The sequence below is a fragment of the Homo sapiens genome, chromosome 12 (assembly GCF_000001405.40).
Source record: "Homo sapiens chromosome 12, GRCh38.p14 Primary Assembly".
Classification (NCBI taxonomy): Eukaryota; Metazoa; Chordata; class Mammalia; order Primates; family Hominidae; genus Homo; species Homo sapiens.
The window spans coordinates 117,522,069-117,546,603 of record NC_000012.12 but is presented as its reverse complement, the minus strand read 5'-3'; the positions used below and the strand labels follow the sequence as shown (position 1 = coordinate 117,546,603).

Below are 24,535 nucleotides of genomic sequence, written 5' to 3'. Positions count from 1 at the left end.
GTCATCGGTGTCCTGGAAAGAGAGAAGAGGAGAAAGAGGACAGAGCTGAAAACATTCTTAAAGAAATAATGGTTGAAAACTTCCCAAACTGGGCAAAAGACATAAACCTACAGATTAAAGAATCTCAGAAAACGTCAAAGAAGGTCAATTCAAAGAAATCCATGCTAGGATATGTCATGTCAAACTTCTGAAAACTGAAGACAGACAAAAGCATCTTGAAAGCAACAACAGAGAAACAATACTTTACCTATGGGAGAAACCATTCAAATGACAACAAATTTCTCATCAGAAACCATGGAGGCCAGAAGAAAGTGGCACAGCATTTTTTCAAGTGCTGAAAGAAAAGTTTTCAATTCAGAATTCCATGCATAGTGAAAATATTCTTCAAAACTGAAAGAGAAATCAAGACATTGTCAGATGAAGGAAAACTAAGACTGTTTGCCATAAGTACACCTACGCTGAAAGAATAACTGAAAAGTATTTTCTAAACAGAAAAGAAGTAATAAAGAATCTTGGAAAATCAGAAAACAGTAAAAAGTGTACAAATACTAGTAGATACAATAGTACATATACCTTCTCCTCTTAATTTTCCAAATTATGCTTGAGAGTTGAAGCAAAAATTGTAACACTTTCTGATGTGGTTCTATATATATGTACGGGAAATATTTAAGACAATTATTAAAGGAGGAGGGTAAGGACATAAAGGAAAACTTCACTCAAACTGGTAAAATGTCAACACCAGTAGACTGTAATAAGTTATGTATATATAATATACTACCTACAGCAGCCATTTAAAAAGCTATACAAAGAGATACACTCAAAAATACTCTAGCTATGTCAAGATGAAACTCCAAAAAATGTTTAACTCACAGGAAGGCAGGAAAAATAAAACAGAAATTAAAAATGAGATTGACAAACCTGTAGCAAGACCAACAAAGAGAAAACTCTGATTACAATTGTCAGGAATGGGATGGGACATCACTACAGACCCTGCAGTCATCAAATGGATAAAGAGATATGCTACACATATACATTTTATAGCTTAAATGAAATAAACCAATTTCTTGAAAATCACAAACTTCCACAACTCACCCAATATGAAATGTATAATTTGCATAGCCCTGTAAACATTAAGGAAACGGAATTCGTAATTTTAAAACTGTCTTACTCCAAAAAAAGAAATCTCCAGATGGTGTCACCAGAGAATACTACCAAATGTTTAAAGAAGAATTAACACCAACTGTACACAATCTCTTCCAAAAAATAGAAGAGTATACTTTCCAACTCATGATATATACCAACATTACCCTGATACTAAAGCCAGAGTACAAAAAAGGAAAACTACAGACTAATATTCTTCATTAATATAGATGCGAAAATTCTTAACAAAATATTTAGAAAATAGAGTTCAGCAATATATACAAGTAGAGTTTATTCCAGGGATAAAAGACTGGTTCAATATCTGAAAAATCAATTAACATAATTCACCATATTAACAAGCTAAGAATAAAAAATAACATGGTTATATTAATTGATACAAAAAACTTGTTTGACAAAATCCAAAAACCATTCGTGATAAAAGAAATCAGAAAAGTAAAAATGAGGAAATTCCTCAACTTGATAAAAGCACCTAAAATAATACTACAGCTAACATTATACTTAGTGATGAAAAACTGAATGTTTTCCTCTACAGCTAGGAACAAGCTAGGACATCCACTCTCACCATTCTTATTCAACACAATGCTGGAAGTTCTGGCCAATACAGTAAGGCAAGAAAAGGAAACAAGACATGCAGATTGGAAAGGGAGAAATAAAAATGTCCTTATTTGCAAATGACATCATCCATGTAGAGAATCCCAAAGAAAATACAAAAATCCCAAAGAATATATTTTTTAAAAAGTTCTTAGAACTAATTAGTGAATTCAGCAAGGTCACAGAATACACAATCAATACAAATTAGTTATATTTCTTCTTTTTTTTTTTTTGAGACAGAGTCTCATTCTGTCACCCAGGCTGGAGTGCAGTGGTATGATCTCAGCTCACTGCAACTTCTGCCTCCCAGGTTCAAGTGATTCTTCCGCCTCAGCCTCCCAAGTAGCTGGGACTACAGGTGTGTGCCACCGCACCTGGCTAATTTTTGTATTTTTTAGTAGAGATGGGGTTTCACTATATTGGCCAGGCTGGTCTCGAACTCCTGACCTTGTGATCTGCCCATCTCGGCCTCCCAAAGTGCTAGGATTACAAGCGCAAGCCACCGTGCCTGGCCCAAATCAGTTATATTTCTATATACTAGCAATTAACATATGGAAACCTAAATTAGAAACATGCCATCTACAATTGCTGAACAAAATGGAAATACTTTGGTGTATATCTGATAAAACATGTATAGGGCTTGTATGCTGAAAACTACAAAATGCTGGTGAAAGGAAACAAAGATCAAAAGAAATGGAGACAGATACCACTGTGGTTCAGCCTGTATTCCGCACAAAGATATGCTAAAGTCCTAACCTCCAGGACCTGTGAATGTGATCTTTGGAAATAGGAACTTTGCAGATATAATCAAGTTTAGATGAGGGTATACTGGAAGGGTGGTCCCTTAATCCAATATGACTTTCGGCCTTATCAGAAGAGGAGAAGAGAAACAGAGACACACAGGGAGAGCACCATGTGACAACAGAGGCAGAGATTAGAGTGATGCAACTGCAATCTAAGTAATGACAAGAATTGCTGGCCATCACCAGAAGGTAGGAAGAGGCAAAGAAGGATTCTACCTAAAGTCTCAGAGGGATCCTGAGACACGGCCTTGCCAATACTTTGACTTGGGACTTTTGCCCTCCAAAATTGTGAGAGAATAAATTTCTGTTGTTTTAACCCACTCAGTTTATGGTACTTTGTTACAGCAGTCCTAGGAAACTGATACCCATACCATGTTCATGGATTGGAAGATTCAACATAGTTAAGAAGTCAGTTCTCAAAATTCATATATAGGTTTAACACAATTTATAACAAGATCCCAGAAAGATTATTTTTATAAATAAAGACATGATTATTCTAAAAGTTATGTGAAAAGACAAAGGAACTAGAATATCTACAACAGCTTTATTCTTTTGTGAAATAATAAAGTGAGAGGAATCAGTCTACCTGATCTCAAGACTTCTTATATAGATACAGTCATCAAGACCAAAATGGATATACAGATGGCAAGTAAGCACACGAAAAGATGTTGAATATCTTAGCCATTAGGAAATGTAAATTAAAGCACAATGAGATATCACTACACTCCAATTAGAAAGGCTAAAATAACAAACAGTGACAATACCAAACACTGGCTAAGAGGCAGAGAAAAATCAATCATTTGTACATTGCTGGTGTAAAATGGTGCAGCTACTCTAGAGAACAGTTTTTGCATTTTCTTTTAAAACTAAACATGTTATTACTATATTATCCAGAAACTACACTTCTGAGCATTTATTCCAGAGAAATAAAAACATATGTTCACATAAATCCTGTTAATAAATGTTTATAGCAGCTTTATCCACAATGGCAAAAAATAGAAAACAACTTAGATCTCCTTCCGTGGGTAAATGTTTAAACAAACTCTAGTACATCCATATCATAGAGTACTACTCAGCAATCAGTCAAAAGGAAGAAACTCGGCAATCAAAAGGAAGAAACTATCGATACCTGCAACAACTTGGATGAATCTATAGAGAATTATTCTGAGTGAAAAAAGGCAATCTGAAAAGGTTACATACTGTATGATTCCACTTATAAAACAGTGAAATGATAAAATTATAGAAACAGAGAATAGAACTGGGCACCAGGGTACACATCTCTAATCCCAGCTACTTGGGATTGAGGTTGAGGCAATGGGATTGCTTGAGTCCAGGAGTTTGAGACCAGCCTGGGTAATGTAGCAAGACTCTATCTCAAAAAAACCCACATACAGCTAGTGTTTATTATACTGGACAGATATGGAGAATAGATTAGAAGTGCCAGGGGTTAAATATGGGGGGAGGATGGTGAGGAGAGAACAGGAAATGGGTATGGCTATAAACGGGCAACATGAGGGATCTTCGTTTTGATGGGTCTGTTCTGTATCTTGACTGTATCAGTTCAGTATCTGGGCTGTGATATTGTACTAGAGTTTCATAAGATGTTATCAGTAGAGAAAACTGAGTAAGGGAAACATAAGATCTCTCTCTTCTTACAACTACATGTGAATCCACAATGATCTCAAAATAAAAAGTTTAATTATAGAAATATACTATCATTAACATAATAGCTACTACCATTTATTGATGACAAAGCACCTCTACTCAATACGAAGGAGGTGGGTACCTACATAACTCATTTAAACTTCACAACAGACCTACAAGGTGGATGTTCTTAGCCCATGTTAAGGATAAGGAGGCCGACCGCATTGACCCACACCTGTAATCCTAGCACTTTGGGAGGCTGAGGGGGGAGGATCAGATCGCATGAGCCCAAGAGTTTGAAACCAGCCTGGGCAACATAGTGGGACCCTGTGTCTACCAAAAAAAGTGTTTTAAAGCTGGGCATGGTGGTGCATGCTTGTGGTCCCAGGTACTCAGGATGCTCAGGTGAGAGGATCGCTTGAACCCAGGAGGCTGAGGCTACAGTGAGCCGTGATTGTGCCATTACCCTCCAGCCCAGGCCGCAGAATGAGATCTCATCTCAAAAAACAAAAATAAATAAATAAAAATAAAATTTAAAGAAAGGATAAGGAGAGACTCACTGACCCAGAAGCAGTGTGGATCTAGTGGCAGTGGAGTGGGCTTTGGGAAGGTGAAATGTACAACCTGGCTGGACACCCAGTAAGCATCTAGACAGAGAATGTCCATTTCCCCTCTGCCCTTGACCTCCTTTGCTATTGGGTGTTCGCCACACCTACTCTTGGAGTTGGCAGATAAGCATACCTGTTGACCACACTATACCATCTTTGGGTACCCGGTCCATATGAGTAGTGGACCTCTGAGTAATGGAGGGATCAAGTGACCACTGTCCTGTGGGTGAACAGATGAAGGCTCCCCTGGGAACACTTAGCTCTGCTGGCTTTGAGAGGTAGGAATCCCTTTTATATCATGTGGAGGTTTGCTGCTTTTGCTCATCTCTTGCCATCTGGTGAAAGCAAAAAGTCCCAAAGAGGTGAAAAGCTTTTCAAGCTTCAGGCAGCACCAATCTGTCCCTTTCCAGGAGAACATGCCTGCAAATGCATACAGCTACTGTTCCTCCCTGCCTGCCTCCCTCCCTCCCATGCCTCCACATCAGCTACTGTTCCTCCCTGCCTGCCTCCCTGCCTCCCATGCCTCCACATCAGCTACTGTTCCCCCCTGCCTGCCTCCCTGCCTCCCATGCCTCCACATCAGCTACTGTTCCTCCCTGCCTACCATTCCTCCACATCAGCTACTGTTCCTCCCTACCTGCCTCCCTGCCTCCCATTCCTCCACATCAGCTACTGTTCCCCCCTGCCTGCCTCCCTGCCTCCCATTCCTCCACATCATTTAATCTTCATGCAGCCCTGTGCACTTGATGCTATCATTACTCCCATTTTACAGAGGACAAAACCGAGGAATGGAAAGGTTGGGCATTTTGCCCAGGATGTACAGAAAAGAGGTGGCTGTGGAATTTGAGTCCAGGTTTTCCTGACTCCGGTTCCTGCTGATACTAATTTCCTGGTGCTGCTGTAACAAAAGAGCATAAACTGGGTGGCTAAAACAACAGAAATTTATTCTCACACAGTTCTAGAGGCCAGAAATTCAATGTCAAGATGCCAGCAAGGTTGCCTTCTAGAGGCTCTGAAGGACAATCTGTTCCATGCCTCTCTCCCAGTCTCTGGTGGCTCCGGCAGTCCTTGGCTTGTGTCTGCATCACTCCAATCTCTCCCTCCATCTTCACATGACTTTCCTCTCCATATGTCTGTCATTGGATTTAGGACTCACCCGAATCCAGGATGATTTGGATATTTGTCATTGGATTTAGGATATTTGTCATTGGATTTAGGACTCACCCGAATCCACGATGATCTCATCTCGGGATCCTTACCTTAAATTATGTCTGCAAAGACCCTTATTTTAAATATGATCAGATTCAGAGGTCCTGGGTGGACGTCTTTTGGGGGACACTGTTCAACCCACTACTGTGCTTGGAAGTCCACCCCAGCAGGCCATTCCGAAAATGCACACATGGATTCTCTCTCTCTCCTTGTTTTTGAGCTGGTCTGGGGTGAGGAGAGGCAGTGCTGGTTCCAGCTGTGACCCAAGCTAAGATGCTGAAGGCTCACTCTCACATTCTCTCTGGAGCTGTCAGACTGTTGATTCTTTAATAAACACTTGGGAGGAGAGGTGTTGGGATGGGAGGGGTACTCTGGACACCTCTGCATGGGGTTTTTCAGAATCAAAGAGGCACAGGGTGAGTGACTGTCACCTGTTTGGTTTTCATTACGTGGTCACCTTTCACTCTGGGGTCCAAGCAGTGGACAGGAATTCGACTCCAGAGGCTGTTCCTTCCACAGCTGGATGCAGCCCAATGGGGCTGATGAAGCGGGAGGGACTTCGGAAGGATCTGGTGGCTGAGGAAAGGGCAAGAATTGTTGCAGGGGCTGGGGTGGGGGCCTCTCCTGCTCAGCCCACTCTTTCTGCTGTGTTTCTGCTTCCCTGCCTGTCCCTGACTCCTACCCTGTTTTCTCTCTGCAGGACCACATCCCTGTCCCTTACCAGCCAGACTCCAGCAGCAACCCCTCCTCCACGACGTCCTCCACGCCCTCCTCGCCAGCACCCCCCCTCCCTCCTAGTGCCACGCCGCCTTCTCCCCTACACCCTTCCCCACAGTGCACACGGCAGCAGAAGAACTTCAACCTGCCAGGTACCTCCATGCTTGGGGAGACATGAGGGGTGCAGCGTTGGAGGGGCAGAGATTAGGGAGGGGGTGGGTTCATGCCAGAGCCCTGATGCAGCAAGTCTCTGCAGGAAAGCGAATGGGTCAATGACCAGAGAGGGGCAAGGAAGTATGTGGACTGACCCTTATCGTACCCTAAGCAATTACCCTTATATCACTTATTTAATCTTTGGAACAGCCACAAGGTAAGCATTATCAGCTCATTTTACAGATGAAGAAACAGAGGCTCAAAGAGGTGCAGGAACTCTTAGAGACTCTGTCTTTTGGCGAGCTACAACCCAGGGTCTTCGCCTAAGTCTAAGTCACAGAAGGGAGCCATTGGCTCTGGAGATGACAGTTGTCTTATGAGCTAAATTGGTTAAAATTGGCAGTGAGATCCTGTGCTGGAGATCTTAGGGGCACATGTCTGAGCAGGGCTGCATACTGAGTCTTAACCCAGATGTGAGGACAGGGCTGTCACTGAGCAGTCTGGACTCCTGGAGTCAAGATCCAGGTCTATTGCATTCTTGCTGTGTCTCACCTCTGAAAAGATGTAGTTGGACAAGATAATCTGGAAGGTTCCTCTAGCTCAGGAATTCCAAGGTACCTGGACTGTTGACCAGAGAGTATGCACTGGGCTATGAGATGATAGTAGAGAAGCCACTCATGGGACACTGTGGTTTCCTGACCTCCTTTGTCATTAGACCTAAGAATGGGATTTTTTTTTCCTTCAGGTAGACGAGACCTAAGAATCTCCCCATCTCTTCCAGGGTCCAGCCTGGCCCGGTTCCTCTGCTAGGGCCCTAAGAATGCTTCCAACTCAGCCATATTTATGGCACTGCAGCTGGCTTCAACAAGAAGGCTGGTGGGACTGGCATGGCCAGTTGGAACCAGAGTCTACATCTGTTTTGTTCAACATGGTATCTGCTAGCCATGTGTGGCTATTTACATTTAAATAAATTAAAATTAAATATAATTTAAAAATTAGCTTATCGGTTACACTAGCCACATTGCAAGGGCTCAGTAGCCACATGTGGCTGGTGGCTGCCGTACTGAATGGCTCAGGTGTAGAACATTTCCATCATCACTGAAAGTTCCATTGGATGCTCTGGTCTAGCACCTGATTTCCTCCTGAGTCAACAAGCTTCACACTATGAAAAAAATCCCAGGTCCTTGGCCACAGTTCACACCTCTAAGCTTAACCAGGCATGAGTGAGTGGCCAGGAGGCAAACAGAGGCCCCACCCCACACCTGGGCGGCACCCACATGCAACCATCCATCCATCTGAGGACAAGCCAATCACAGCACCTGCCCACACTGTTTTGATTTGGGTTATATCCACAGAGATGGCACATATTTTGAATTCTTGGAACTTTGGGTTTTTTGTTAAGTTCAAGTCTGAATTTAACAGCCTCATATCCACCTAGTGTAGGGGCCACTCATCTGGCAGCCACCAAGGACTGCAATGTGAGTCACCAGCTGAATCGTCTTAGTAAATGCCACCGATTCATTGCCCGGCACTTCCACAGACAGAAGGCTCCCACCGCCATCTCCAGGGTTGTTCATTTTTACTTCTTCAGAAGGGGATGAAGGGAAAAAAAAAGACCGTTAGACTTCCCATGACCACCCACACCTGGGGGAAGTGAGCCCGATGCTTTCCAATAGCCACTTCACTCCCTGGAGACACTGACTTCAGGAGTATTTTCTCTGAAATTGTTTGGCACTTATTTATGGACCAAGGGATGGGGAAGGGCCGTTTTATGGGAGAACTGTGCACAAAAGGACCACAGCTCTTTTCATCCCTTAAAGAATCTGCTGGCATCTTCAGACAAGAGACCTGCCTAGCCAGGAGTAATCAGGGTGTCCCTTAGCTCCTTCCTTCCCTCAGCCAGAGTCTTCAAGAAGGGGTGCCTGACAATTTGCTGTTCTAGCGTGCCACCTTATCCCCATCTGCTCCATGACAGGCCATGACAAGGTCCTGGCCCTCTTTGGGGACTGGGCTAAGGGGTCCTTTGGGTAAAAGCACTTCAGCATGGCAGTTAGAGTATGGGTTCTGCAGCCAAGCTGCTTAGGTTCAAATCTCAGCTTTACCACTTAATGTCTGTGTGATGCTGGACAAATAACTCGCCTCTCTGGGCCTCAGTGTTCTCATCTATAAAATGGAGATCATAATAGTACCCACCTTAGATAATTGTTTTAGAAAGAAATGGCATAATACATGGACAAAGCTTAGCAGGGTGACAGTTTCATTGAAGACCTCAACAAATCTGGGCTCCTTGGATTATTATTAAATACAATAATAATAAAGTACAGTGGCTATCTTTATTTGCATTTCTCATCATCACTGCTAATTAATATGAGGACCTAGACAGAATTGTAGAATGAAAGATGAAATCCCCATATACCTTGACATAGGAGTATGAACTGAACTCAACATTTGGGGAAGGTAATTTGGCATTTTCTGTTAAAGTTTTTTTGTTGTTGTTGTTGTTTTGAGATGGAGTCTCACTCTGTCACCCAGGCTGGAGTGCAGTGGTGCGATCTTGGTTCACTGCAACCTCCACCTCCCGGGTTCAAGCAATTCTCTTGTCTCAGCCTCCTGAGTAGCTGGGACTGCAGGTGCACACCACCACACTCAGCTAATATTTGTATTTTTAGTAGAGACAGGGTTTCACCATATTGGTGAGGCTCATCTCGAACTCCTGACCTCAGGTGATCCACCCACTTTGGCCTCCCAAAGTGCTGGGATTACAGGTGTGAACCACCATAGCCAGCCCTGTTAAAGTTTTAAATGTGCATTCCTTTGACCATTATATCACTTCTAGGACTTTATATACAGAAACGCTTGCACTAGGGTGCAAAGATCTGTGTGTAAGGACTTCACTGTAACAGTGAAAACTGAAATTAACCCAAATGCCCATCAAGAGTAGGTGGTGAATGGTTGAATACACACATATATCCGTATAACCAAATATTCTGCAAACTTTCAAAGGAATGTAGTACTCTATATAGATTTCCTGACATGGAAAGATATCCATAATGTTTCTTAAGTAGAAAATAAGTGATTTGCAAAGTCATCAGTATAATATTCTATTTATTGTAAAATATTTACATATATATATGTCTGTGTACCAGTGTGCATATATGTGTTGGCATGTGTGCAGTAAAGTCTAGAAGAACTTCATGGCAGCTGTTGAGGACAGGGACTTTATCTCATGCACTTCTACGATATATATGAGTGTGCATCCATTTTAGAATCGAATAATAATAAAATTCAGTGCTGAAATGGAAAACAAAACAGAACCTTTTGGAAGTACAGTTGGGCCTACCCTGTGTCTTAGGTGGTTTTAGCAAAACACTCCCAGGGTCAAGAGTACCTGTCGTGTTTGTACAAAGATCTGGCTAGCTGTCCCACTCTTGACTGGGAGCTTCTGTTGATGAAAAATGGAGCTTTGCCTGTGGGTCCCTGCCAGATGTTGAGTTTTCTGAAGGCTATTTAAGCTAAAGCTTAGGCATAACAATGTCCCCAGCACTGATTCATCTAGAACATTCTTGTCCAAAAGGGGCTGGGGGGGTTGACCAGCCATTTAACTCATTTGTTAATCTCAGGACATGTGGTGAAAAGGATATAAGAACCCCAAGAATGGCGTGTGCAGCCTCGGTGGTATTTGTGACTGTGTGCTGCCAGTTGGGTGGACCTCCTGTTATCAGCCTTTCCCTGAGTCCTGGGGCCATGTGGACATGGCTCAGTATAAGGTGACATCAAGAGTGCTGCATGGACAGACAGACCTGGAGTTGGATCCCAGCTTTGCTCCTTGCTAGCTGTGTGATTTTGAGCATGGTATTGCTTCTGTTTAGGTCTGTTTCTCATCAGTAACATGGGGCTAGTTCACTGCTACTGATGAGCAGAGTTGTGGTAGCATCCATCATGGCAAGACAGATGAAGAGGCTTCGAAAATGATTGTCTTATGGGTTTCTGAGGCTGGAGTGTTCAAATACCTTCTTTCTTTGGAGCCAAATACCTTCTGTCTTTGGAGCCACCTAGAGCCATCTTGAAACACACACACACACACACACACACACACACACACACACACACACAACTCCAGGAAATGGTGAATTCTAATGGCTCAAAGGGAGAAGAAAGGAGGTGGAATCTGCCTTTGGTGGAATTTGCAGGATTTCTGAGACCTCACTTGGGCCATGTGGGCTCATGAGAGTGTTTCCTCCCTTTCCCTTTCCATCAGTCTCTCCTGAGTGCCTCTTTTATGCTCATCACTCTGTGCCATGATCTGGTTTACATACTCACTTGTTAAGTGTCTGTCTCCTCCATCAGAATGCCAGCTGCATGAGACTAGGCAATGTGTCTTCATTCACCACTCCACATTCAAAGCCCAACATGTTGCCTGCAACTGAAGGCACTCATTACATGTTTGTTGAATGAATGAATGACCTGAATTTCATGCACTGCCCAGGGCTGCAGTTTTTTCTCTTCAAATTTTCTTCTTGGCCCTCAGACTGTGTTCATCCATTCATTTTGTTAACAGTATTTATTACGCATCTACTGTGTACCAGCTACTGTACTAGGCACTAGGTTTGGACCAGGGAACAAACCAGACATGGCCCCTGGATTCACTTCCTATTGTTATTGTAACAAATGACCACATACTTTGTGGCTTAAAAGCACACAGGTTTATTATCTTATGGTTCTAGAGGCCAGATGTCCAAAACGGGCTTCATTGGGCTAAAAACCGAGATGTCAATAGGGCTGGTTTGTTCTGGAAGGTCTCAGGGAGAATCCATCTCCTTGCCTTTTGCCAGCATCTAGGGGCTGCCCACATAACTTTGCTTGTCGCCCCTCCTCATTCTGGCCTCTGCTTGCATGATCACATCTCCTTCTCTGACCCTGCCTTCCTCTTCTGAGGACCCTTGTGGTGACATTGAGCCCACCCAGATGATCTAGGATAATCTCCCCACCTCAAGATCCTTAAGTAATCTCATCCAAAGAGTCCCTTGTGCCATGTAATGAAATGGATTCACAGTTTCCAGGGATTAGGACCTGGACATGTTGTAGCGGCAGGGGCAGGCATTATTCTGCCGACAACAGCCCCAGTTCTCATGAAAAGTATAGCTTAGTGAGAAAAAAAGGTATTAACCAAATAAACATATGCATGAAAATAGGATTATAGATTGTGATGAAGGCTGTGATGGCTAAGAGCCTTTGCTCTTAGCTAAGATGGCTAAGAGTCCTTGAGCAAATGCAAGAGAACAGATTTAGGTTGGAGGGTCACTGGATGGCTGAGTTTTGCAGGTGGGGGAAGTAAGGCAAAGGCCCAGCCACAAGAAGGGGCCCAAGTGCCATAAACAAGGGAAAGTGGCCTCCAGAGAGACTCAGAGCTACAGGGTCTGGTCCTGGCAGGATTTTAGATTTTATGTGAGACTCCATGGGATGCAGTTGAAAGGTTTAGGCAGAGAATGACTTGACCTTTCTTCCTTCCTTCTAGAAGACCACTCTGGCTGCTCTCTTGGGAGGCCTCAGGGTAGGCATGGGGGCTCCAGAGGGGAAGCTGCTTCAGAGTGGCCTGCTTGTCTCTTTGACTTCATCTGCAGCCTCCCAGGTCCTGAGTCATCTTGGATGCCAGAAAGCCCGGAGCCACTCTGCTCTCCTGAGCAGCCCACTCAAGGTCACCAGTTGTTCTTTAGAGCCACTTCTTGATGGTGTCTGTCATCAGCAGGAAGAACAGGTCTCCCAACAATGTCTTTCTTCCTCTTCTGGTCATATGTTTCCCTTTCAGTCACCAGGAACGAGTTGTTCCATGGCACATGGGGAGGAGTCAAGGAGGGCGTTGGCTTCGGGTGTGGAGGCATTTGCTGGTGTCCTGTTGCCTGACACCTGTCCCTTCTCGGACTCTCTGAAGCAGCTCCTGCTCTCCGTTGCCCAAAAAGAACATAGCTGTCAGTGAACCTTTTCTGCAGACACTGAATCCCCCATCACTGTCAGAGCTGTGGAGGGAAAAGATCAGCCAAGTCTCTTGAGAGCCTCGGGTCGTCTTTCCTGTTTTAATTTTAGCCCCTTGTTGACTAATAAAGTAGTTGTATGTAATAAAAAACTTCTGTTATCTAATAGTAAAACAGTCCCTGAAGTCATGGAGGGTGATTTTCTTTTAAAGCTTTGCTCTGTGACCTTGAATAAGCTGCTTCTTGCCCTGGACATCCCATTTTCCAGAATCAAAAATGGACTCCAACTATTTGATATAATCTGGAATTGGACTAAGCCCAAGGTTTTTGCTGTTTCATCTGTGATAAAGAGAGTTGGTTAATTCAACAAATGTGTGTTGCACACTGACTGGTGCAAGGCACAGAACCAGGAGTTTGAGGTCCTGAGATAGTAGGACTTACTCCCTGTCCTGAAAGAAACTATCAATACATTTCAACCTCAGGGAGAGTGTTCCGTCTGCTTCCCCAAAGCAGAAGATTTCATTAGCACTTGGAACTATGTGATTGTCTCGTGGCTATAAATCATTCTTGTCTATTAGTTAAGAGAGCTTAGAAATGTGTTTATTTATCTCACAGCTAATATGAATTCAGCACCTTCAATACACTTTTATCTCGTAATGATGGTCCTTGCCCTTTGAGGAAGGGACTGTTATTATCCTCATTTTACACGTGTGGACAGTGAGACTTGGAGCTTCTACAAATAGCCAAGGGCAGAGCAAAGATTTGACCCTAGAGGATCAGCTTCTAGACTCTAGGCTCTGAGCTACTGTGCTAATATTTGATAAAGCAACTCCAGTGGTGGCTTGTCCCTGAATGTCATCAAATTGTTTCTGAAAGTGGATTCACCAATACAGACTCATCTGACTATATCCCTGCCCTCTTCATTTACTTAAGGACACAAATCTCTGTGTCCCCTGCCCCCAACACCGCTTGGCCCCCTATTCCAGGCACTATTCCCCAATGGAGTAAGTGCTAATGTTAGAAACCTTTAAGTGTCCGAGACCCCTGGCCTCTGGCGAGTAGATTAGAAGTAAAAGGAATTGTCAGGGAACTGGCAGTGAAGTCCAGAAAATTTCTTTTATAAAATTTTTTCCTAAATACAGAGGTTAATTCATGCTTGTGGTAGGTAGAATAATTCGCAAAAGATGTCCATGTCTTGATCTCAGAATCTGGGAAGATGCTGCTTTACAGGACAGTAGGAACTTTGAAGATATGATTAAGTTATGGATCTTGAGATGGGAGGATTATCTTAGCTTATCTGGGCAGTCCCTAAATATAATCACAAAGTCCTTATCAGAGGGAAGCAAGAAGGTCAAAGGCAGAAGAAGGAGATGGCACAACAGAAGCAGAGGTTGGAGTGATGGAGCCATGAGCCAACAAATGCAGGCAGCCTCAAACAACGGAAAAGACAAGGAATAGATTTTCCTGGAGCCTTCAGAAGGAACTAAGCTTGATTTCAGCCCTGTAAGACTTATTTCAGACTTTTGTCCTCCAGAACTGTAGGAGGATACATTTGTGTTGTTTTACTAAGTTTGTAGTAATTTGTTACAGGCACAAAAAAGAAAACTGATACGATGCTCGTTGCAGAAAATTAGGAAAGTACAGAAAAAGCACAAAGGATTTTTTAAGCCACTGTAATCATTCTGCCAAAAGGGGAAAAAATTAATATTTTGGATTATGGCTTTGCAGAGTTTTTCTGTGTGTGTGTGTGTAATTATGCATTTCACAAAAATGGTATTGTAGTCAGAATGTCTGTTTGAGTTGGAGCAGTCTGATTTTAGGGAGTGTGAGATGTCAGATGGGAGGGTCGGCATGGATGTTTAGAGTTCTGGTTTCTTTACACATGTTTGCAGTCCCTTGTCTGCAGGGATGTCTGCAGAAGTATGGAAACTCTTGAAGGTGGGCAGAGAATGACCATGTGGTGGCTGTAAGAGCTCAATCTGGTCCCTGAAGCGATGTCTCCCTGGGGACACTCACTTTGATGTTTTCTTTCTTTTGCAAGCATCCCACTACTACAAATACAAGCAGCAGTTCATCTTCCCAGGTGAGTTTCATGTGAGCTGGAAGCAGCCCCTTCTGAACAAGCCCCGCTGCATTGCAGGAGTTTCTGGGATGAATGGAGGCAGATGTTGTGGGGGTGCCTAAGATCAAAGAGGGTAGTGGAGTCACCACACTCCAGGATAATGGCTGAACATGGAAGTGGAGAAGAAAGAGTGGGCACAGTGGGACCCAAGGAGGTCCCAAGGCACCGTGGAAAGGCCTGAGAGGGTGGAGTGCTGTAGAACACTGGGCGAGGGTGAGGAGGGGTCTAGAGCCATGTGGCAGGAAAGAGATGGTCATAGGGTCCTGAGCTGGGTACTGAGAGGATGTGAAACCAAGGGGCTTTATCATCCCAAAGGGAACCCAGGAGAAAGAAAGATTCAGAGATGACCAATGAATGCTTCAGGCTAGATATTTGAGGGTTCTGGCAGCCCCCTATTCAACAATGAGGAATTTTGTTGAGGATGTCATCCAGAACCCTGGTCCAGCTGAGCAGGTAGAGTCCAGGTGGTCCAGGAAAGGAGAAAGGAGATTGGCCAAGGGCAGAGATCCAAGATCTGGTGAAAAATTGGCTGCCATGTCGCCCAGGAATCAGGCCTTTGCGGGGGTTGTGGACTTCACATTTTTTTTCTGAGTGTTCAATCTCTGGTTTTCAGATGTGGTGCCGGTGCCGGAGACGCCGACCCGGGCGCCCCAGGTCATCCTGCATCCGGTGACCTCGAATCCAATGTAAGTGAGACAGAGACATCTTCCCCCTTTCCCAAGCTTCCCAGCCCTGGCCCTACAATCCACTCAGGTTCCCTATCTTCTTTCCTTCTCTTCCTGGAACTGATGGAGTTGGGGGCAGAGGGAGATGTACAAGGGGGTCAGAGAGACATAGGGAATAACTTAGGCAAAGAGAAAGGGCGTGACAGCTCAGACAGAGAGATGGAGAGAGAGGCAATGCTGTTCCTCACGAGCAGCTATGCCTTGTGTCTCTGACCCTGCCTGTCAAATGCAATTTCCAGGGGCTGGACCGTTTCCTAAGGACCCATAACCTCCCTGTGATTAGGAAGAAAACTTTCCCCGGGTGATAGCTAGTACTTAATGAAAGGGCAATTATTCCATGTCACTGAACATGGAATAACTTTCAAAAGTCTCATTGAGGTTTATGGAATCAGCAAACTATAGCCCATGGGACAGATCCAACCTCCTGCTTGTTTTTATTTAAAGTTTTATTGGAACACAGCCATGCCTATTTGTTTACAATGTATTGTGCATGGTTGCTTTCTCCATGCAGCAGCAGAATCGAGTAGTTGTAACATAATCTGTATGGCTTGCAAAGCCAAAAATATTTACTCTATGACCCTTTGCAGAAAGAAATTTGCTAACCTCTGGTTTATATTATTATAAAAATAATATAAGCTAATTTTGGAAAATGTGGGCTATTCTTTAAAAAGGGAAAGGCAAAATAATCACTCATGATCTCACCACTGTTAAAACTTCTATGTGTGTTCTTTCCATTTATATTTTACATAGTTATGACCCACAATATATGCAAGCAGCTACCATCCTGCTTTGTTATCTTTATGCCAAACATCACATTTTATGAATATTATTTTAGCCTCTCCATAGACATTGTTGGTTTTTGTTTTTTGTTTGTTTGTTTTGAGACAGAGTCTCACTCTGTCACCCAGGCTGCAATGCAGTGGTGCAATCACGGTTCACTGCAGCCTCAGCCTCCTGGGCTCAAATGATCCTCCCAGCTCAGCCTCCCGAGTAGCTGGGATTACAGGTGTGTGCCACCACACCCAACTAATTTTTGTATTTTTTTTTTAATTTTTTATTTTTGTAGAGACAGGGATTCACCATGTTGCCTAGGTGGGTCTCAAACTCCTAGGTGCAAGTGATCATTCCACCTCAGCCTCCCAAAGTGCTGGGATTACAGGCATGAGCCACTGCACCTGTCTGATATTGTTTTTAATGGGTGTAAAATGACATATTGATGTAGAATAATTTTCTTAACCATTTTCCTATTGCTGGATTTTACATTGCTTCCCATATTTCATTGTTGTAAATAATGCTGCAATGAACATCTTTGTGCATAGCATCCTTAGGAAACAGACCCTCTTTTCAGGTGGTTTATTGCTTGTGCAGCAGAAGTGAAGTCACCTTGGCCAGGCGCAGTGGCTCATGCCTGTAATCCCAGCACTTTGGGAGGGCAAGGTAGGAGGATCACCTGAGGTCAGGAGTTGGAGACCAGCCTAGCCAACCTGGTGAAACCCCGTCTATATTAAAAATACAAACATTAGTCAGGCGTGGTGGCACACAACTGTAATCGCAGCTACTTGGGAGGCTGAGGCAGGAGAATTGCTTGAACCCAGGAGGTGGAGGTTCAGTGAGGTGGGATTGTGCCACTGCACCCCAGCCTGGGCAACAGAGGGAGACTCTGTCTAAAGAAGAAAAAAGTGATGTCACAAAGTCACCTCCTTAACTTCTTTGGTTGCGATGGAAGCCTGGGGCTTGCTAGGATTTGACCAGTTTCCTAACTCACCTTTGTGCCTACTTAGTTTTTCTTCTGGGTCCCCTAACTGCTTCATCTTTTCTGACTGGTCTTATGGACTTTGTTAAAGACTTACATGGTACATCTCTGAAATCAAAGGAGCAGCAACTTGCCGGGGGATATGGTGCTGACATCTAGCTCGAGATCATTTCTCTGCTTCACATAAACCAATTCTACAATTTGTGCAAGATGAACTCCAGGTTATTAACTGACAGTCCAGAGGTACCAGCGAAAAACAGAGTCAATAGCTGCTTGCGATCTGCTTAAATGTGCGCGGAGTGATGACAACTCTTTGCAGAAGGAAATACTTGAATAGCCCTGGCTGCTGGAATCACGCCTTGATGCAGAGAGGAGGGTGGCCTGTTTTGGTTTTGGGCATGAGGAGGGACTCCAGCTGCATTGTCCCAGCCAAGTCTCCCCCAGGGCATCAAGTTCTCAGCATGTCAGCTGTCATCGTGCAGGTTCATTCCACTTTCCCAGGCTGTGCTATGAATAATTGGTTAATACCATGGCGAATGCCACTTTGTGGTTGACCTTTCTTTCTCCTTCTTTTAGTTCTTGTGGTCTTTCAGACTCTTTCACCAGGACCCCCTCCAGCAAGTGGATTGACTCTGTGGAGTCAGCCACTTCCTGCAATCTGAGGGTCAGGATAGGGGAGGTCCCCCAAATGAGGATGGGGAAGGGGGAATCTACTGGGGAAATAGGAAAGGAGGGGTGGGGTATTCATTGTGATTCTTTTTTCTCACCTGTCTCAGCTCTTCCATGCCTTCAATAGCCCAGTTCTGTCTCCCTGCTGCACTTCAAAAACACATGCACATCCTCAAGTCTAAACCCTGCAACATACCTCTAATGCACACTGTACCCAACATCCATCACATGTCAAATGTCACATGCATTTGACAGTCCCCTCACACCTCTAATGCACACCCAATTATACTATCGGCATACAGCATCCCCCTCAACATCCTGTGTGTACACCCAACTCACATGCACACAAGACAACCCTGCACAAAGCACATCCCATAATACCTATGCAGTGCTCACACAAATTGTGACGCCCCGCCAGCATCTATACCCAACATGTTTGCTTACTAAGAACAGAACTGCAGCTCATGAGCTTATGAATGCATCACACACACACACACACACACACACACACACACACACACACACACACTTGTGTCTTCCAGCTCAATATGGTCTTTTTATTTTCATTCCACACATCCTAATTCCATGTGATTGGCAAGACCTACCTCAAACACTGGGAACTTTCAAATACACCCAGTAATTCTCTCATCTTGGAATTCCCACGACACTCCATTTATCCAATTCACACCTAACTTTTGGCCTTATTACTTTTAGCCTCCCTGCATAGTATCTACATACTGGCTTTAGTTCCTTCAGTAGGAACACAATATTCCTGAAGGTCAGAAGCCGTGCCAGTTTCAATTCTATATCCCTCCAAGGGCCTAACACTGTTCCTGGCACACACATCTATTAAATAGTCGCATGAATGCATGAATGAACAGACAAACAAGAACACTGAGATCCTTCCAAGAAATTCCAAATTTGTGTGAACTTCGGAGATCTGATTAATTCTTTCCTGGCAAACATATACAGCTCTGAGGACTTATCTACCCAGGGCATTTAGGCCAATTTATAAGAAAGCTGCTAGATAAGTTGAAACCAAAGCAATGAAGAAAAATGAGCCCTGAGCAGCCCGGAAAATCAACTTAAAACAAGGTCCTTGCGCACTGTGTTGTGTGTGTGTGTGTGTGTCTGTGTGTGTGTGTGTGTGTGTCTGTGTGTGTGTGTGTGTGTGTGTCTGTGTGTGTGTGTGTGTGTGTCGAGGTTATGGATTATTTCAGACACACCTGTTGAAATGAAATGTGAGATAAAGACTTGGTGGTAAAGACCTCCGATCTGGGGATTCTTCGTACATAGCTAAACTCAATATATAGACCTGCCTTTTCACCTAGGGATCACGTTTATTTTTCTTTCTTTACAGCTTGGAAGGAAATCCATTACTTCAAATTGAAGTGGAGCCAACGTCGGAGGTGAGAATCAGAGAGCAGTGAAGCGACATTTTCCAGGGACTGCCCAGAACTTGGCAAAGCCGACTGACGTTTTGGATGACGCAGAGGGCTTGGGGTCAGGTGGGGGCTGTGGTGGCCCTGACTGATGGATATTCTAACTCTGGGACAATTAGCAAGCAGTGGTCCCTCCCAGCACTGAGTCTAATGGGCCATTATATGGCATGCATCATGGAAAAGCCAGTTGTGTGGAAATTGTCAAGAGATTTGCATTCTTAGTGGAAAGATCAGCTCAGGGCCGGGTGAATACCAAGGGGGATGTGCCCCGCTGCCTTCAAAAGAATATGTGGGAAGAGGTGGGGGCCTCAGGGATGCTGGGCTTAGAAGTGTTGAGAATGCTCTGGGGCTTCTTCCCACCTGCCTAAGTGGCTGCAGAAATACATGAAATGCCCTGGCTGGAAACCATGGAGTCCTGGCCCCTCAGCTCTGCAACTGCTCTGGGTCTCATACTGAAAGGAATTGAGTCAGGGCTTCCAAGGAAAATCGTGTTCTTTTCTGGGACTATTTTGGTTGTTGAAAAATGATCCCGGGAGAAATCAATGTCCCCTGTATTGTTTCTCCTGAATGTGCCATCAGGGGCAGCTTGCCCAGGTATTTTGGGTCAGGAAGAGCTGTACCCAGTCAAGAAGCCACCTTCTCAGGCTGTTTCATCAGGTCCCAGGGTCTCTGGGAATCCCCGCTGGCCCTGGCCACCTGCTGCTCCCACAATTCTGCAGGAGAATCCAAGAGGCAATTCGCCCCCAAGCACCCCTAGATATCATGCTGATAAGGTGGGTCCCTACACCTTGAGCATTTAACTCTAGTGGTAGTTACGCCGAAGTACGCCTGAGTCGTGTGTGTGCATGATAAAAATGCAGATTCCTGGTCCTGGCCTGCGGATATTTTGATCCAATAGTGCTGGGTGGGGCCCAGGAATCTGCATTTTCTCGGGCCTCCCAGTCGGTGTTTAATACAGATGGTCAGGTCTGTACAAAGAACTTAACAGGCCTTCATCTAAAACCTCACACCGGCCCTGGGGCAGATTTTATTACCCCCACTTTACAATGAGGAAAGGCAGCCTCAGGGAAGTAAAGCAACTGGCTCAAGGTCATACAGAGGCCAGATTTCAGCTCTCTTTGTCTGATTGTTAAGCCCATTCTGTTAACCCCTCACTCTCATGTCTCCTACCCTCCCAGCTGCTGTAGGAGCCTCAGACAGCTAGCTTGTAGCTCTGACCTCTCCCAGTTTTTGAATCATCAATTCCAAATTCCCTGGGGGAAGCAAAAGATACTCCATGTTGGCAGTTGTCATGTGTTACATGCAGATGCACGATGTACCCATTGTTTTAGCCTGTCTAGCCTGTCAACTTTATCACATGCACGTAAACAGCCAAACCAAAAGACTATGGAAGAATAGGAAGGCCATCGGATATTCAAGTCCAGAGACCTGGATCTTAGTCCCTCTTCTGCCTGGCTGCATGACCTGGAGTGAGTCACTTCCCAGGGCAACATATGGGACTTTCGGTGCTAAAACCAGGAAGATTCCAGCAAACTAGAATGGGCGATCCCTATAACACTTCTCTCTGAGCCTCAGTATCCCCCCATTTAGCACAAGAGAGGTGGATGATCATGATCTCCCTTTCAGCACCTTCACTGTAGTATGATTCTAGACCAGATTCTAGAGCTGGGGAAACAGAGGGACGTATGTCTGCACAAGCTCCAAATGCATGTAGAGATGTGCCCAGACCTACGCATGTGCACGGGACCCAGCAGGACCATGAGGGAGGCTGGGGCAGTGGCAGACACAATTCTGACCTCTCTCCCACTCCGGCCACAGAATGAAGAGGTCCATGATGAGGCCGAAGAGTCAGAGGATGACTTCGAGGAGATGAACCTGTCCCTCCTCTCGGCCCGGAGCTTCCCACGCAAGGCCAGCCAGACCAGCATCTTCCTTCAGGAGTGGGACATCCCCTTTGAGCAGCTGGAGATCGGCGAGCTCATTGGAAAGGGCCGCTTTGGGCAAGTGTACCACGGCCGCTGGCATGGCGAGGTGGCCATCCGGCTGATTGACATTGAGAGGGACAACGAGGACCAGCTCAAGGCCTTCAAGCGGGAGGTGATGGCCTACAGGCAGACACGGCATGAGAACGTGGTGCTTTTCATGGGTGCCTGCATGAGCCCGCCTCACCTGGCCATCATCACCAGGTCAGTTCCACCTGGGCTTCTACCCAGGGATTGGCAAAACTCTGCTTCTGGCATGGTTGAGAAATGGTTTTCTGCTTACTTGACCACTCTGGTTAATAGACCATCTCTAGTTCTACCATGCACAGTTTACTTACATGGTTTAAGATTTAAGATTCCAGAAAATACTTTACTTATTTGTTTTTTTAGAGACAGGGTCTCCCTCTGTTGCCCAGGCTTGAATGCAGTGGTATGATCATAGCTCACAGCAGCCTTGAACTCCTGGACTCAAGAGATCCTTTCGCTTCAGCCTCCCAAATAGCTGGCGCTACAGGTGTGTGCCATCACACCTGGCTAATTTTTTAATTTTTTGGTAGAGATGGGGTCTTGCTATGTTGCCCAGGATGGTCTCAAACTCCTGGCCTCAAGCAATCCTCCTGCCTTGACCTCCCAGACTGCTGGGATTACAGGCCTGTAAGCTACCACGCCTAACCCCAGAAAATATTTTTAATGCTAAAACTCTTTAGCAAAACCAAAGACTACTAAATGGGGAATTAGAAACATCGGGTCTAGTTCCCCCTCTATTCCAAGTATTTGTGTAACAGCTTCTCCAAGAGTCACTTTCTCCATATGTGAAATGAGTATATTCAACTAAATCAGGAGTCAGCCAACTTTTTTTTGTAAGGGGCCCAATAGTAAATATTTTCAGCTTTGTGGGTTGTACAGTTTCTGTAGCAGCTACTCTACTCAACCACTGTAGTCTGAAAGCGGCTATAGACAATCTGCAAATGAAATTGCAGGGCTGTGTCCCAATAAAACGTCATTTACAAACCCAGGGAGTGGGCTGTATTTGTCCCATGGGCCGTAGTCTGCAAACCCCTGATTAAGATTCTTTTTCTTTTTGAGACAGAGTTTCACTCTTCTTGCCCAGGCTGGAGTGCAATGGTGTGATCTCGGCTCACTGCAACCTCCACCTCCCGGGTTCAAGCGATTCTCCTGCCTCAGCCACCTAAGTAGCTGAGATTACAGGCATGTGCCACCATGCCTGGCTAATTTTGTATTTTTAGTAGAGACAGGGTTTCGCCATTTTGGTCAGGCTGGTCTTGTTCACCTGACCTCAGATGATCCGCCCGCCTTGGCCTCCCAAAGTGCTGGGATGACAAGCATGAGCCAAGATTCTGATAAGTGTTACTCTGGTTTTCATGAAAGTTGCAGAGCACATTTGCTGTCTTTACCATTGTGGTTTGGAATATCCAGGATCTGTGGTCTATGGGTACAAAGAAGGGATAGTTCATAGAGAACTAACATTGCGAAAATGTTTCTTGGACTTTCTCAGATTTGCTCTCTGGCCTCTCCCAGAGGCTTGAGGCATTGGGAGAAAAATAGCTTTGGTTTTGATGGAACAGTTGTGAAACAATCCTTTGGTTTGTTTTTAAACTCTGGCGCTGACTCCCCTGTAACATAAGGACTGGCCTCTGCAATGGCATTCTTAGTATGACCTGTGATGCCAAGGGGCTGTTAGGAGCTCTCTCCTTGCTCTACTCAGCTCAAGCAGTGAGACCCCAAATGCACAAGTCTTGCATCTTACCAGGCCCAGAACAGATGCTGTGGGCTCAGAGAAGAGCTGGTGTGTCTTTGATCTCTTCCCTTGTGAGACAAAACCTTCTTAAGTCCACTTATGAGAACTTGGTGATTGGTAGAAGGTACATTATATTCTGTATCCATAGATGATGCAGATGGTGGGTTGACTGGAGTGACTCGTGCTTTGAATGATAAGCGCTGGTGAAAGATTAGAGATCTAGGGATGGGCCTCCAAGCCTCCTTAAATCAGGGTAAAAATGGTGGTTCTCAACTCTGCACAAGACAGAAGTGGCTCTGAAGCAATCAGCCCAGGTAATCTTCAGGGGCTGAGCTGTTCTGAGTTTAAGCTTTTGCTGAGTACTACTCCACAACTTAGTGGTTTCTCTCTATCCTATGGATAGTTCTGGGCTGAGCCAGACTCAGTAGCTGGGTTCTTGTAGTTGGCTGTGGTCAGCTCTGGGTCAACAAGGGGATAGTCAGTCTTAGATGCCCTCATCTGTGTGTCTGCTGGTTGGCAGATTGTCAGGGGATATCCTCAACAGGCTAGCTCAGGCTCATTCTCATGGCGGTCTCAGGTTTCCAAGTGTAGCAAGAGGTCAAGACCTACATCTGTTGGCCAGAGCAACTCCTATTATCCACTAGATTCAAGGCATGGAGACACAGCCTCTACTTCTGAATGGGAAGATCTGCAATGTCCCACTGCAAGGACATGGATGCAGGGTGGGGACAATCTGTGGCTATTTTTGCGATTTACTACAGAGAGGCCCTTAGCTCCCTTTCCTTCCCTTTCTTACCCAGTATATATCATCATCTTTTAGCAGCAGTCAATAGCCTATTACTTGGGATACACAAGTCTGGTTGGAGGGTGGTCTTTTCCCCACCCCTGGCCTTCTCTCCATTGCTCCCATCTTAAGCTCTTATCCCATCTTTCTGTCTGGTCAGTTCCTTACCACCCTCCTGCCTCCCTGTTCAGCATTACCTATGAAGCCTAATCCCCATGCCTCCCTCACCCCCTTCTCAAAGGCTAGCAAGTTGGAAATAGACAAACTCAGCAGCCATCCTTGAAAAACGAGTGGTCATTATGAAAATGTGTTGCTCATCCTGCAAGCCAGCTGCATTTGCGGCCCTCTTCTATTATGTACAAAATTCTGAGCCCCCCTCCCCAAGCGCCATAACTGCCTACAGATTTCACAAATAGCCCAGCCTTTTCCTGGCACCACGATAAA

At 44.9% G+C, this 24,535-nt stretch overlaps 1 protein-coding gene across 8 annotated transcripts in view; it reads left to right on the top strand.

Annotated features, from left to right (window-relative positions):
- Positions 1 to 24,535, top strand: part of KSR2 (kinase suppressor of ras 2) — a 515,979-nt gene that overhangs the window by 422,387 nt on the left and 69,057 nt on the right. For 6 of the 8 annotated variants that reach the window (XM_011538224.4, NM_173598.6, XM_011538225.4 and 3 more), the window contains 5 exons: positions 6,717 to 6,885; positions 14,897 to 14,938; positions 15,591 to 15,663; positions 19,485 to 19,533; positions 21,385 to 21,752. In XM_011538224.4, the coding sequence (XP_011536526.1) occupies positions 6,717 to 6,885; positions 14,897 to 14,938; positions 15,591 to 15,663; positions 19,485 to 19,533; positions 21,385 to 21,752 (701 nt within the window). Of the gene's footprint in view, positions 1 to 6,716; positions 6,886 to 14,896; positions 14,939 to 15,590; positions 15,664 to 17,546; positions 18,059 to 19,484; positions 19,534 to 20,897; positions 21,031 to 21,384; positions 21,753 to 24,535 lie in introns of those variants that run through there. The other 2 variants (XM_011538229.4, XM_017019209.3) reach the window with 2 other exon arrangements.